The sequence below is a fragment of the Homo sapiens genome, chromosome 19, assembly GCF_000001405.40.
Source record: "Homo sapiens chromosome 19, GRCh38.p14 Primary Assembly".
NCBI classification, from domain to species: Eukaryota; Metazoa; Chordata; class Mammalia; order Primates; family Hominidae; genus Homo; species Homo sapiens.
The window spans coordinates 45359647-45374206 of record NC_000019.10 but is presented as its reverse complement, the minus strand read 5'-3'; the positions used below and the strand labels follow the sequence as shown (position 1 = coordinate 45374206).

General features: G+C 54.0%; 1 protein-coding gene across 8 annotated transcripts in view, besides 2 other annotated features; it reads left to right on the top strand.

Moving 5' to 3' along the window:
• Positions 3341-3420: an enhancer, noted in NCBI's record as "active region_14791". NCBI's record gives its function as "activates an Ori minimal core promoter by ATAC-STARR-seq in GM12878 lymphoblastoid cells {active_cell/tissue: GM12878}" and the evidence as "EXISTENCE:reporter gene assay evidence [ECO:0000049][PMID:35858748]".
• Positions 3634-14560, top strand: part of ERCC2 (ERCC excision repair 2, TFIIH core complex helicase subunit) — a 20737-nt gene continuing 9810 nt past the window's right edge. For 3 of the 8 annotated variants that reach the window (NR_199645.1, NR_199646.1, NM_000400.4), the window contains exons 1-12: positions 3634-3671; positions 3975-4074; positions 5060-5137; positions 5215-5277; positions 5464-5577; positions 9049-9165; positions 9253-9369; positions 9660-9783; positions 9876-9972; positions 10088-10221; positions 10296-10464; positions 12565-12683. Coding sequence is in view for 5 of the 8 variants with exons in the window: in NM_000400.4 (NP_000391.1) it covers positions 3667-3671; positions 3975-4074; positions 5060-5137; positions 5215-5277; positions 5464-5577; positions 9049-9165; positions 9253-9369; positions 9660-9783; positions 9876-9972; positions 10088-10221; positions 10296-10464; positions 12565-12683 (1237 nt within the window). In the remaining 3 variants the exon portion in view is untranslated. Of the gene's footprint in view, positions 4075-5059; positions 5138-5214; positions 5278-5463; positions 5578-9048; positions 9166-9252; positions 9370-9659; positions 9784-9875; positions 9973-10087; positions 10222-10295; positions 10465-12564; positions 12684-14560 lie in introns of all 8 variants that reach the window. The other 5 variants (NR_199647.1, NM_001440356.1, NM_001440355.1 and 2 more) reach the window with 4 other exon arrangements.
• Positions 4039-4880: an enhancer, noted in NCBI's record as "H3K27ac-H3K4me1 hESC enhancer chr19:45872585-45873426 (GRCh37/hg19 assembly coordinates)". NCBI's record gives its function as "activates a minimal SCP1, AML or CMV promoter by ChIP-STARR-seq in naive H9 embryonic stem cells {active_cell/tissue: H9 hESC(naive)}" and the evidence as "EXISTENCE:reporter gene assay evidence [ECO:0000049][PMID:30033119]".

Sequence of the window (14560 nt, the reverse complement as noted above, 5' to 3'; positions counted from 1 at the left end):
TTTTTTTTGAGACAGAGTCTTGCTTTGTCACCCAGGCTGGAGTACAGTGGCATGATCTTGGCTCACTGCAGCCTCTGCCTCCCGGGTTCCAGCAATTCTCCTGCCTCAGCCTCCCGGGTAGCTAGGATTACTGGTATGTGCTACCATGCTTTGCCAATTTTTGTATTTTTAGTAGAGACGGGATTTCACCATCTTGGCCAGGCTGGTCTCGAACTCCTGATCTCAGGTGATCTGCCCACCTCAGCCTCCCAAAGTGGTAGGATTACAGGTGTGAGCCACCATGCCGGGCCGAGAAGTTGACAATTGAGCAAAGAGCTGAGGGAGGTGAGTGTGTCAGCCACATGGCTATCAGGGGAAACAGCATTCCAGGCAGACAAAATAGCTGGTGCAAAGGCCCTGAGATGGGATGTGCTTGTTATGTTTTAGAGACAGCAAGGAGACCAGCATAGCTGAAACAAAATGAGCTGGGGGAGAGAGAGGAGGAGATCAGAGCAGTAAGGTGGGTTGGTATGGGGATGATGAGCAGTAAGCTAGTTACAGAGGACTCTGTAGGTGACAGTAAAGATTTTGGATCTGGGCTGGATGCAGAGGCTCACGCTTGTAATCCCAGTACTTTGGGAGGCTGAGGGAACAGGATGGCTTGAGCCCAATACCAGCCTGGGCAACATAGCGAGACCCTGTCAATAACAAAATATATTTTCTTCCTGTAGGAGATAGAAAAGTAAACATAAAAAAATTTATGTAAATAAATTAAGCCGGGCACAGTGGCTCACGTCTGTAATCCCACCACTTTGGGAGGCTGAGGTGGGAGAATTGCTTGAGCTCAGGAGTTCAACCAGCCTGGACAACATAGTGAGATACCCTCGTCTCTACAAAAAATTAAAAAAAATTAACCAGGCGTGGTGTCGTGTACCCGCAGTCCCAGCTACTCAGGAGGCTGAGGTGGGAGGATCACTTGAGCCCTGGAGGTCAAGGTGGCAATGAGCCAAATTCACACCACCATACTCCAGGCTGGGACAGAGCAAGACTCTGTCTCCAAAAATACAGCCGGGAAGGGTGGCTCACACCTGTAATCCCAGCACTTTGGGAGGCTGAAGTGGGTGGATCTTTTGAGGTCAGGAGTTTGAGGCCAGCCTGGCCAACATAGTGAAACCCCGTTTCTACTAAAAGTATAAAAATTAGCTGGGCAGTAGTGGTGCGCACCTGTAATCCCAGCTACTAGGGAGGCTGAGGCCAGAGAATTGCTTGAGCCTGGGTGGCAGAGGTTGCGGTGCGCTGAGATTGTGCCACTGTACTCCAGTCTGGGCGAAAGAGTGAGACCTTGTCTCAAAAATAAATAAATTAAGAATTAATTAATTTAAAAAAGAGATTTCGATCTGCCCCTGCCTTCCCCTCCAGCTGCCCTTTCTCTGCTCCCTGTGCTCAACTCAGAGCTCCACCCCCACAGGCTTCCTTTCAGCACTCACAGGCCTCAGCTTTCTTCTGGCCTAGAGCTTTTGTGTATGATGGTCTCTCTCCCTGGAACACCTTTCTCACTTCTCTCATCCATCCCCTCTTGCTGGTTGATCTCTTCTAATTATTTTCTGGCTCTACTCAAACCTCGCTTCTTCCACGAAGCCTTCTCTGATCACTTGGCCAACACTCACACCCCACAGTTGACAGTAGACATCCTGTCATAATAAGTCTTTTTTTTTTTTCTTTTTCTGGGACGGAGTCTTGCTCTGTCACGCAGGCTGGAGTGCAGTGGCGTGATCTTGGCTCACTTCTGCCTCCTGGGTTCAAGCAATTCTCCTGCTTTAGCCTCCCGAGTAGATGGGATTACAGATGCATGCCACTATGCCTGGCTTTTTTTTTTTTTTTTTTTTTTTTAGTAGAGATAGGGTTTCACCATGTTGACCAGGCTGGTCTTGAACTCCTGACCTCGTGATCCATCTGCCTTGGCCTCCCAAAGTGCTGGGATTACAGGCATGAGCCACTGCACCCAGCCCATAATCAATCTTTATGGTGACTTGAAGTTTTCCTTCACAGCACTTTTGTACTTGTGATTATACACGTGCGCACACACACACACACACACACACACACACACATTTGAGATAGGTTTTCACTCCTGTTGCCCAGGCTGGAGTGCAGTGGCACAATCACTGCCCATTGCAACCTCTGCCTCCCAGGCCCAGGTGATTCTCCCACCTCAGCCTCCTGAGTATCTGGGACTACAGGTGCACGCCACCACGCCCAGCTAATTTTTGCATTTTTTGTAGAGACGGGTTTTCACCATGTTGCCCAGGCTGGTCTCTAGCTCCTGAGCTCAAGCAATGTACTCGCCTTGGCCTTCCAAAGTGTTGGAACCACAGGCACGAGCCACCACTCCAGGCTGTAATCATATATTCATTTGTATATTTAATATCTGTTCTTTGAGGCCAGGCCTGGTGCCTCACCCCTGTAATCCCAACAATTTGAAAGGCTGAGGGGAGAGGATCACTTGAACCTGCGAGTTTAACCAGCCTGGGCAACGTGGTGAGACCTCGTCTCTAAAAAAATTTAAAAAATAAAACTTAGCTGGGCTTGGTGGTGCACACCTGTGGTCCCAGCTACTCTGGAAGCTGAGGTGGGAGGATCGCTTGAGCCCAAGAGGTGGAGGCTGCAGTGAGCTGTGACTGTGCCACTGCACTCCAGCCTTGGCGACAGAGAAAGACCCTGTCTCAAGGAAAAAAATCTGTTCTTTGAGGGCAGGTGCTGAGGCTGTCATGGTCACCTTTCTGTTCCCAGGGGCCAGCACAGGATCAGACACATGGTAGATGCCACATAGCTATTTGTTGAAGAAACAAACAAAAGCTAGCATTTATGTTTTATTTATTAGTTATTATTATTAATATTTGAAATGGAGTTTCGCTTTTGTTGCCCAGGCTAGAGTGCGACGGCGCCATCTCTGCTCACTGCAACCTCTGCCTCCCAGGTTCAAGCAATTCTCCTGCTTCAGCCTCCCGAGTAGCTGGGATTACAAGCATTTGCCAGCACGCCCGGCTAATTTTGTATCTTTAGTAGAGACAGGTTTTCTCCATGTTGGTCAGGCTGGTCTTGAACTCCCGACCTCAGGTGATCCACCTGCCTCAGCCTCCCAAAGTGCTGGGATTACAGGCTTGAGCCACCGCGCCCGGCCTGCAAAGCCATTTCTAACTCTTGGGCCCAGAAAGGATCACCAATTTCCCTGTCATTCTCCGTTAGACTATTCGCTACTGAGACGATTTTTTTTTTTTTTTGAGACGAGGTGGAGGGGCGGGGGTTCTCGCTATCTTGCTCAAGCTGATCTCGAACTCCTGGGTTCGATCAATACTCAGACAATCTTGGCAGGCGCAGGAGGACCAAATTCTAGTGAATGAGATCGAGTCTCTCGGCTCTTTCCCTTCCATGTTTTCTTTTTGATTGGCCCTCGACGATCCTCAGTGACGCCTCCCGCACCGCCTCACCCGAGAGTCAGCCGCCCTCGCTTTTCCGTGCGCACGCGCAGTATCCCGATTGGCTCTGCCCTAGCGGATTGACGGGCAGGTTAGCCAATGGTCTCGTAATATAGGTGGAGCGAGCCCTCGAGGATGTCCACGACCCGGCCTCTCGCTGAATATTCATGAGGGAGGCGGGTCGACCCCGCTGCACAGTCCGGCCGGCGCCATGAAGTGAGAAGGGGGCTGGGGGTCGCGCTCGCTAGCGGGCGCGGGGGGTCTTGAAGATGGGGTCATCGGTGGGCGCGCCTGGGTCCCCAAGGGGGCGAGGGGAGGGTGAAGGGGTGGGACGGGGGCAGCCGCAGGGAGCAGCAGTGATAGCGAGGAGACACTGAGGGGGCCCCGAGGCTCCTGAGGACCTGAGGGTTACCGGGGGCGCCGGGCCCGTCACCCTTCTCTGGGCTCGACGACCGGGCACTGTGGAGGCGGGAGAGGGGCTGAGGGGACGGGAACTGACCCAGCAGCCCCTGCCGCCAGGCTCAACGTGGACGGGCTCCTGGTCTACTTCCCGTACGACTACATCTACCCCGAGCAGTTCTCCTACATGCGGGAGCTCAAACGCACGCTGGACGCCAAGGTGGGTGGCCGGTGGGCCCGACCCGCCCACTCGACCGGTGGGGCTGCCACGCCTGGGCCTAAGACAGATTGCAGGACGTCTGGATTTTAGAAGTCCGAGGTCCCTGGGAATCCAGGACCCCATAATCTTCCGTTATCTAAAACAATAATGGTGAATAGGCTGGGCGCGGTGGCTCGCGCCTGTAATCCCAGAGCTTTGGGAGGACGAGGCGGGCGGATCACTTGAGGTCAGGAGTTGGAGACCAGCCTGGCCAACACGGTGAAACCCCGTCTGTACTAAAAATACAAAAATTAGCCAGGTGTGGTGGCGGGCGCCTGTAATCCCACCTACTCGGGAGGCTGAGGCAGGAGGATCGCTTGAGGCCAGGAGTTGGAGGCTGCAGTGAGCCATGATTGTGCCACTGCATTCCAGCCTGGGCAATAGTGACACTTGTCTCTTAAAAAAGAAGGGAGAAAAGTTCACTATATATCAGCTACTGTGCCAAATATTTAACCTGCAATTTCTCACAATCCTCATAGTCATGTTATGAGGAAGGTTTTATTATTAGGCCCATTTTATTTTATTTATTTATTTTTGAGATTGAATTACAGGTGCGCGCCACCACATCTGGCTAATTTTTTGTATTTTTAGTAGAGACGGGGTTTCACCTTGTTGGCCCAGCTGGTCTTGAACTTCTGACCTCAGGTGGTTCACCTGCCTCAGCCTCCCAAAGTGCTGGGATTACAGGTGTGAGCCACCACGCCTGGCTTTAGGCTCATTTTAGAGATAGGGATACTGAGGTCTGGGGAGGTGAAGGTACTTGCCTAAGACCACTCAACAAGGAGGAGGCAGAAGTGAGGTTCAAACCCACTGCCCAATCTTAACTGCTGCTGTGTTATCCTGCTGTTCTGAGTTGGTGGCATTGGGGGTCGGGGAGAGTCCCCAGAGTTTGTGTGCCCAAGGTTCTGAGACCCTGTGTGTTGCCCCTCTGGTCCCCAACATGCAGGGTCATGGAGTCCTGGAGATGCCCTCAGGCACCGGGAAGACAGTATCCCTGTTGGCCCTGATCATGGCATACCAGAGAGTGAGTGATGCGCTGAACCCGTAAAGGCAGACAAAGGAAGGGGCGGGACAGGGACTGAGTCCGCTTGTTATCGGCAGGCATATCCGCTGGAGGTGACCAAACTCATCTACTGCTCAAGAACTGTGCCAGAGATTGAGAAGGTAAGCTGGGACTCATCCTGGTGCTCCAGCCCCACTGTTCCCTAGGCCCTATTGGTCCCCCTGGCGGTGGCCGTCACCAGCTTTCGGGGGTGTTTGGGAAGCTGGGGAAGAGACTGGGACCTGGCAGGGCAGGGGTTTGTGCCTCCAATGAGCACAAGCTCCCCCTGCCCCCCAACTTTGGAGTAGGTGATTGAAGAGCTTCGAAAGTTGCTCAACTTCTATGAGAAGCAGGAGGGCGAGAAGCTGCCGTTTCTGGGACTGGCTCTGAGCTCCCGCAAAAACTTGTGTATTCACCCTGAGGTGAGCACCTGTTCCTTCTCCTTGCCCTTAGCCCAGAGGTAGAGAAAACTCTTTCGTCCAACCACAAGTCCTGGATCCCCAGGCCATATCTCTTGCAAAGGCATGCAGTGGCTACACACAGAATTCCCGTCTCAGTGGTCAAATTCTCATTCATCGTGGCCCAGGCAAGCACACTTCCTCCAGGGAGTCTTCAAATTCTACCCAGGCCTAGGAGAGGTTAAAAAGGCAGCTCTTAGAGTCTCTGGCAAGCCTGGTTTCCTGGCTCTGAAACTTACTAGCCCAGTATTTATGGAGAGGCATTTTCTGCCACCTGGGCCTCAGTCTTCCTTTCTGTAAAATGGGGATAATTATGTACCTGCTTCATAAGGTTGCTGATGATAAAATTGGGTGAAATGTTGCAGCCGATGCCCTTAGCATGTACAAAGAGCTAAAAGAATGTTAGAAATTCTCATGATAGGCCAGGTGCAGTGGTTCACGCTTGTAGTCCCAGCACTTTGGGAGTCTGAGGTGGGCAGATCATTTGAGGTCAGGAGTTCGAGACCATCCTGGCCAACACGGCGAAACCCCATTTCTACTAAAAATACAAAAATTAGCCGGGGGTGGTGGTGTACACGTCGGTAATGCCAATCGCTTGTACCCAGGAGGCAGAGGTTGCAGTGAGCTGAGGTCATGCCACTGCATTCCAGCCTGGGTGACAGAGTGAGACTCTGTCTTAAAAAAAAAAAAAAAGAAATTGTCATGATATTTATATGCATAATGATATATGACAAATACAATATTAGTTATCATTAAATTATGCTATAAAATCATTGTACTTGGCTGGGCATGGTGACTCACGACTATAATCCCAGCACTTTGGGAGGCCGAGGCGGGTGGACACCTGAGGTCGGGAGTTTGAGACCAGCCTGGCCAATATGGAGAAACCCCGTCTCTACTGAAAAAAAATTGAAAAATTAGCTGGGCACATGCCTGTAATCCCAGCTACTTGGGAGGCTGAGACAGGAGAATTGCTCGAACTCCCGAGGGGGAGGTTGCAGTGAGCCGAGATCGCGCCACTGCACTCCAGCCTGGGCAACAAGAGTGAAACTCCGTCTCAAAAAAAAAAAAAAATTGTACTCACTGTGTGCCAGGCACTGTTCTGAATACTTTACATGTGGTAACCCACAGAATGTATATATGTGTATATATTATACTTACATATATATGTGTGTGTATATATGTTTTTATATGTGTGTGTGTGTGTGTGTGTGTGTGTGTGTGTATATATATATATATTTTTGTTTTGTTTTGTTTTTGAGACGGAGTCTCACTCTGTCACCCAGCCTGGAGTGCAGGGGAGTGATCTTGGCTTACTACAAGCTCCGCCTCCCGGGTTCAAGCAATTCTCCTGCCTCAGCCTCCTGAGTAGCTAGGATTACAGGTGCCCCACTACACCCGGCTAATTTGTGTGTTTTTAGTAGAGACGGTGTTTCACCATGTTGGTTAGGCTGGTCTCTAACTCCCGACCTTGTGATCCTCCCGCCTCAGCCTCCCAAAGTGCTGGGATTACAGGCATGAGCCATCGTGCCCAGCCTTATTTATTATTATTATTTTTGAAATGGAGTTTCACTCTTGTTGCCCAGGCTGGAGTGCAGTGGCGTGATCTCGGTTCACCACAACCTCCACCTCCGAGGTTCAAGTGATTCTTCTGCCTCAGCTTCCTGAGTAGCTGGGATTACAGGCACCCACCACCACGCCCTGCTAGTTTTTTGTATTTTTAGTAGAGATGGGGTTTCATCATGTTGGCCGGGCTGGTCTCAAACTCCCACACTGGGCCCACAGACTATATATTATATCACATTATTTGTAAGAATATGTGAGAAATAATACATCTAGTGGATGACAAAGAGCACAGGCCTCGGTGACTGATGAAAGGGGAAATGGAGAAGGAAGGGCTGGCTGCCTTGGAGCTTTCCTTTTGGCGTAGGAAAAGGATTTGTTCTTCAGAAAAAGCCTTAGGCTGTGATGGTGCCTTAGAGGGTACAGAGCAGGTCAGGGGTAAGGGGAGTCCCAGACTGTGTGGAACCTCCTTTGATTCTTAGGCCCTGCCAAGGTTCCATGCGTTTTGGCATTTCCAAGGATGAAGTAGTTATCTTCAACCTATATGCTAAAGATTTTTCAGGCTTATTGTTTTAAAATATTAGTTTTGGGCTGGGCACGGTGGCTCACACCTATAATCCCAGCACTTTGGGAGGCCGAGGCGGGTGGATCACCTGAGATCAGGAGTTCGAGACCAGCTTGATCAACATGGAGAAACCCTGTCTCTACTAAAAAGACAAAATTAGCCGGGTGTGGTGGCACATGTCTGTAATCCCAGCTACTCGGGAGGCTGAGACAGGAGAATCGCTTGAACCTGGGAGGCGGAGGTTGTGGTGAGCCAAGATCGTGCCATTGCACTCCAGCCTGGGCAACAGAGCAAGACTCCGTCTCAAAAAATAAAATATTAGTTTTGGCTGGCTGGGCGCAGTGGCTCAGCCTGTAATCCCAGCACTTTGGGAGGCTGAGGTGGGAGGATTGCTTGAGACCAGGAGTTTGAGACCAGCCTGGGCAACATAGCAAGACCTCATCTCAACTAAGAAGACAAAAATTAGCCGGGCATGGTGGTGCACACCTGTGGCCGCAGCTACTCGGGAGGCTGAGTGGGGGAAGGATCACTTGAGCCTGGGAGGTCAAGGATGTAGTGAGCCGTGATTGGGCCACTGCATTCCAGCCTGAGTAGCAGAGGGACTTGTCTCCAAAAATATGTATGTATAACTTGTAGTTGTAAGAATGTAACAATTTTGCTACTCTTTTTTTTTTTGAGAGGGAGTCTGGCTCCGTGGCCCAGGGTGGAGTACAGTGGCATGATCTCGGCTCACTGCAACCTCTGCCTTCTGGGTTCAAGGGATTCTCCTGCCTCAGCCTCCCGAGTAGCTGGGATTCCAGGTGTGCACCACCACACCTGGCTCATTTTTGTATTTTTATTTTTACTTATTTTTTTGAGATGGTGTCTCACTCTGTCGCCCAGGCTGGAGTGCTATGGCACGATCTCTGCTCACTGCAACCTCCACCTCCCGGATACAAGCGATTCTCCTGCCTCAGCCTCCCGAGTAACTGGGATTACAGGCATGTGCCACCACGCCTGGCTAATGTATTTTTAGTGGAGACAGGGTTTCACCATGTTGGCCAGGCTGGTCTCGAACTCCTGACCTCGTGATCTGCCCACCTCAGCCTCACAAAGTGCTGGGATTACAGGCGTGAGCCACCGCGCCCAGCCCAATTTTACTACTCTTGTATCCCTGCATTAAGTTCCCACGCGTCTTAACTAATAATGCAACAGACTGAGGTTCAAGTTGTCCAAAACCCCAGCCAGCTGGGAGGTGTGGAGACCAGGGTTTGAAGAGTGGTTGGGTTTCCACCCTGTCTGGGTGCTAAGATGCCCCACACCCCCAGGTGACACCCCTGCGCTTTGGGAAGGACGTCGATGGGAAATGCCACAGCCTCACAGCCTCCTATGTGCGGGCGCAGTACCAGCATGACACCAGCCTGCCCCACTGCCGATTCTATGAGGTTACTGGAGGGCAGGGCTGAGGGAGGGAGGCAGGACAGGTAGCCTGGGGCAGGCAGCCTCCCTGACCCCTGGCACTCTTGTCCCAGGAATTTGATGCCCATGGGCGTGAGGTGCCCCTCCCCGCTGGCATCTACAACCTGGATGACCTGAAGGCCCTGGGGCGGCGCCAGGGCTGGTGCCCATACTTCCTTGCTCGATACTCAGTGAGGAGGCTGGTGGGATGGGCAGAGGGGCGAGTGTGAGGGTGTGGGCTGCCCGCCCGTCTCCTGTCTGCCCATGTCTGTCTGTTGCTTGCTGTGAGTCTGCCTGTCTGCATCTCCCTGTTGGTGGGTGCCCGTATCTGTTGGTCTGTCTCTATCCATCTGCTCATACTTCTGCCTGGCCTGTGTCTGCCTGTGCAGGCCTGTGTGGGAGTGACGGGCCAGTGTGGCCAGGGGTAGGGGTAGGGGTTGGGGTGGCAGGGCCCTGGTAACCCTGCTCCCCGGCCCCCCAGATCCTGCATGCCAATGTGGTGGTTTATAGCTACCACTACCTCCTGGACCCCAAGATTGCAGACCTGGTGTCCAAGGAACTGGCCCGCAAGGCCGTCGTGGTCTTCGACGAGGCCCACAACATTGGTGAGGGGGGCGCCAGGGGCCAAAGGGATGCCAGCCCCTCTGAGTGAGGCCCCTGCAGGCCTGCCTGAGCCGGCTCTCTCCCCCTTCTCCAGACAACGTCTGCATCGACTCCATGAGCGTCAACCTCACCCGCCGGACCCTTGACCGGTGCCAGGGCAACCTGGAGACCCTGCAGAAGACGGTGCTCAGGTGGGGCCGGGGACGTCTGGCGGTGGTGCCCGCCCTGCCCCTGGGACCCTGGCCCCTGTCTGACTTGTCCCCAGGGTTGCCAGCCCCCTCCCAGCCCCAGCTCATCTCTCCGCAGGATCAAAGAGACAGACGAGCAGCGCCTGCGGGACGAGTACCGGCGTCTGGTGGAGGGGCTGCGGGAGGCCAGCGCCGCCCGGGAGACGGACGCCCACCTGGCCAACCCCGTGCTGCCCGACGAAGTGCTGCAGGGTGAGCCCCGACCCCCCGCTGCCCCCCAGTCCCTTTCCCGCCTCCCCGTCGCCGCTGATAGCGTCTCCTCGCAGAGGCAGTGCCTGGCTCCATCCGCACGGCCGAGCATTTCCTGGGCTTCCTGAGGCGGCTGCTGGAGTACGTGAAGTGGCGGCTGCGTGTGCAGCATGTGGTGCAGGAGAGCCCGCCCGCCTTCCTGAGCGGCCTGGCCCAGCGCGTGTGCATCCAGCGCAAGCCCCTCAGGTGCGGCCCCAGACAGCGCGCGGGGTGGGGGCCCGGCAGGTCCCGGTTATGCAGAGCCGTGTCCTCCACGCCTGTAGCCCCAGGTCACCACTGCAGCATCAGGAGTGAGTGAGCTGGGCGAGGCACGTGGGACCTTGTCTGGTCTGACCTGGGAGGTCCGGGAGCAAGGTTGGAGCTGATCCTGGGTCCGTGCGTCGGGCAGGGGCCTGGCAGGCAACACCTGGCTGGATTGGAGAATCTCCCCCACCCAAGAGAGAGTGGGAGCACCATTTACAGAGGGGCGGGCTGGGGGAGGAGCCAAGGAGGGTGGGAGGTGAGAGCTGGGAGCTAAGCCAGGCCACAGCGGCAGGGAGGGAGTGTGTTGAGAACCAACTGGTGGGGGCCTGGACAGGGGCTTCTGCTGGGAGCAGAAACCAGTACCAGGGCCTCGCAGGCTGGGAGCTGGAGGAGGTGTCCCCGGCCCATGTATCTTCCCACCGATGCCTCTAATCTTCCAAACCTGAGGGCAGGGGCGTCCCCATGGAGTAGTCTGGGCGCATTTTGGGGGAGTCAGTCTCTTGAGGCACAGGGCAGGCAGAGAATGACCAAGGGATACGAGGGGGCTTTTCCTTTGGGTAAGTCATGGGTCTTCTTTGAACTGCAGTTTCCTCCTTTGTAAAATGGCCAAGGAGTCGGGTCTTTACTTCACAGGGTTCTTTGGTGGGTTAATGAGAGAGCAGCGAAGCCAATCACCTACCCTGCCCTGAGCACTAAGGAGGAGCTAAGCCCTTTATGTTCCTTACCTCAGTTGCACCCCCAGTACAGCATCCCCACCCTGCAAATGAGGACACTGGGACTCCCAGAGGGGAAGCCTTTGCCCAGAGCCACACAGCACTGTGCCCGGTAGTTGGGGCTTGAAGCCATGCCTGTGGGCTCCAAAGGCCCTGGCTGCCCTGCCTCTGTGGGTGAGGCCACCTTCCATGTGGGTTTGCCCATCTTCCCCAGGATTGGAGACTTGTGAGGGCAAAGAGGGGATCTCAGTCACTCAACACACATTCCCCAAGTGCCTGCTTCATGCTGGGGACACAGCCGTAGAGGCTCCATGGCCCAGTGGAGGGGACAGACTCATCCTCAGCTAGCGACCAGCCGGGGTAGGCGCCTGGGGTTAGAGGAGCCAGGCTGGGAGGGCTGACGTGCGGGAGGCAGGTTTGCAAGTGTGACTGCCCACCTGGCTTCAAAGCCAGCTGCTCTATGACCCTGCCTCGGCCCTGCCTGTGTGTGGTTGTGGCCGAGTGGCCCTGCACATGCGTGAGTGTGTGGACGTGGTATCCGTGGGACTCTGTGGGATGTGGGTGTTGACTGCATTCCTCTGTGAGCCCATGGGGTTCCGACACCGTGTGTGTCCCCATAGGTGCGTGAGAGGCAGTGGGAGAGGCTCTGGGTGTGAATGCGTGACCATGTGGCCATGCGGGATTAATGCCATGACTGGGGGGTTCTGGGTGTGATTGTGCGTCTCTTGTTTTGATCAGAACCCACTTAGGGCCAGGTGCAGTGGCTCACACCTGTCATCCCAGCACTTTGGGAGGCTGAGGCAGGTGGATCACGAGGTCAGAAGTTCAAGACCAGCCTGGCCAACATAGTGAAAGTCCGTCTCTACTAAAAGTACAAAAATTAGCTGAGTGTGGTGGCAGGCACCTGTAATCCCAGCTACTTGGGAGGCTGAGGCAGGAGAATCATTTGAACCCAGGAGGCGGAGTCGAGATGGTACCAGTGCTCTCCAGCCTGGATGACAGGGCAAGACTCCATCTGAACAAAGAAAAAAAAGAAAAAGAAAAAAAGAACCCACTTAGGAGGTCGTGCTAGCAGGTGTGACAAGTGACCACATGACTCTGGAGTGTCTGATTATTGCTCTGTCTGTGCCATTATGCGGCAATGGCTATTTGTGACATGCAGGTGTACAGCGTGGGGGTGCAAGTTTCCAAAACAGGCCCAGTGCCCACCCTCACTGAGTGCTCATTGGCTGGGGAGACAGGCACGTGACCGTCGTGATGGCGGAGGCAGGGCTGCTGGTCCTGCTCATGCTTCCGTCTGCCCCCCGACCCCGTCTCTCCTCCCCGCCAGATTCTGTGCTGAACGCCTCCGGTCCCTGCTGCATACTCTGGAGATCACCGACCTTGCTGACTTCTCCCCGCTCACCCTCCTTGCTAACTTTGCCACCCTTGTCAGCACCTACGCCAAAGGTAAGCTCACCTTTTTCTGTCCCTGCTGGGCCTCCTAGCAGCTGGAATCAGGGTCCCAGCAGGGTCTAGAGGGTTGTTGGCAGGACACACAGGGCTTTGTGGGGTTTGGCTTGGAAGTGTGGGCCCTATTTTGAAGGCAGTGGGGAGCCATACATAGTTCTTGAGTAAGCCTTGTGCTCAGATTTACATTTTCACAGACTTCCTCGGGCTGCAGAGTGGAGAAGGATGGCATGGGCAGTGGTAAGGGAGGAGGCCAGAGAAATTCTATGGGGTCAGCTCACACTAGAGGGCACGGTAATGAGTTGATCTTTGTGCTCCTGAGGGCACTGGGGAGCCATGGCAGATTCTAGCAAGCAAGGTGCCAGGTCAGATTTGTGCTTTTTTTTTTTTTTTTGAGACGGAGTCTTGCTCTGTTGCCAGGCTGGAGTGCAGTGGTGTGATCTTGGCTCACTGCAGCCTCTGCCTCCTGGGTTCAAGCAATTCTCCTGCCTCAGCCTCCCGAGTATCTGGGACTACAGGCGCATGCCACTATACCCAGCTAATTTTTGTATTTTTAGTAGAGGTGGGGTTTCACCATGTTGGCCAGGACGGTCTCGATCTCCTGACCTCATGATCCACCGGCCTCGGCCTCCCAAAGTGCTGGGATTACAGGCGTGAGCCACCATGCCCGGCCCAGAGTTGTGCTTTGGAAAGATTTCTTCTGGGTGCTGAACGCAGTGGCTCATGCCTGTAATCCCAGCACTTTGGAATGGTTAGGCAGGCAGATGACCTGAGGTCAGGAGTTCGAGACTGGCCTGGTGAACATGGCGAAACCCCATCTTTACTAAAAATACAAAAATTAGCTGGGGCCAGACATGGTGGCTCACGCCCATAATCCCAGCAGTTTGGGGGGCCGAGGTGGGCAGATCACTTGAGGTCAGGAGTTTGAGACCAGCCTGACCAACATGGTGAAACCCTGTCTCTACTAAAAATACAACAATTTGCCAGGTGTGATGGTGGGCTCCTGTAATCCCAGCTACTTGAGAGGCTGAGGCAGGAGAATTGCTTGAGCCCAGGAGGCAGAGGTTACAGTGAGCCAAGATTGTGGCACTGCACTCCAGCCTGGGCAACAGAGCAAGACTTCGTCTCAAAAAAAAAAAAAAGGCCGGGCGTGGTGGTTTACGCCTGTAATCCCAGTACTTTGGGAGGCCGAGGCGGGCGGATCTCGAGGTCAGGAGATCAAGACCATCCTGGCTAACATGGTGAAACTCCGTCTCTACTAAAAATACAAAAAAAGTTAGCTGGGCGTGGTGGCGGGCGCCTGTAGTCCCAGCTGCTCAGGAGGCTGAGGCAGGAGAATGGCGTGAACCCAGGAGGCAGAGCTTGCAGTGAGCCGAGATCGTGCCACTGCACTCCAGCCTGGGCGACAGAGCGAAGACTCCGTCTCAAAAAAAAAAAAGAAAAAAAATAGGCCTGGCATAGTGGCTCATGTCTGTAATCCCAGCACTTTGGGAGGCTGAGGTGGGTGGATCACCTGAGGTCAGGAGTTCGAGACCAGCCTGACCAATATGGTGAAACCCCGTCTCTACTAAAAATACAAAAATTAGCTGGACGTGGTGGCACGCACCTATAGTTCCAACTACTCAGGAGCCTGAGACAGGAGAATTGCTTGAACCCGGGAGGCGGAGGTTGCAGTGAGCCGAGATCACACCAGCTGCACTCCAGCCTGGGTGAAAATGAGAGTCTGTCTCAAAAAAAAAAAAAGAGTTCTTCTGGCAGGGACTAGAGGCAGGAGACTGGGTGGCAGGCAGGGACCTGAGCAGGAGGGGAGGGGCCTTGGCCAGGATGTGGCCATGGGGAGAGAGAAAGGTATGGTTTGGAGAGAGATGTGGGAGGTA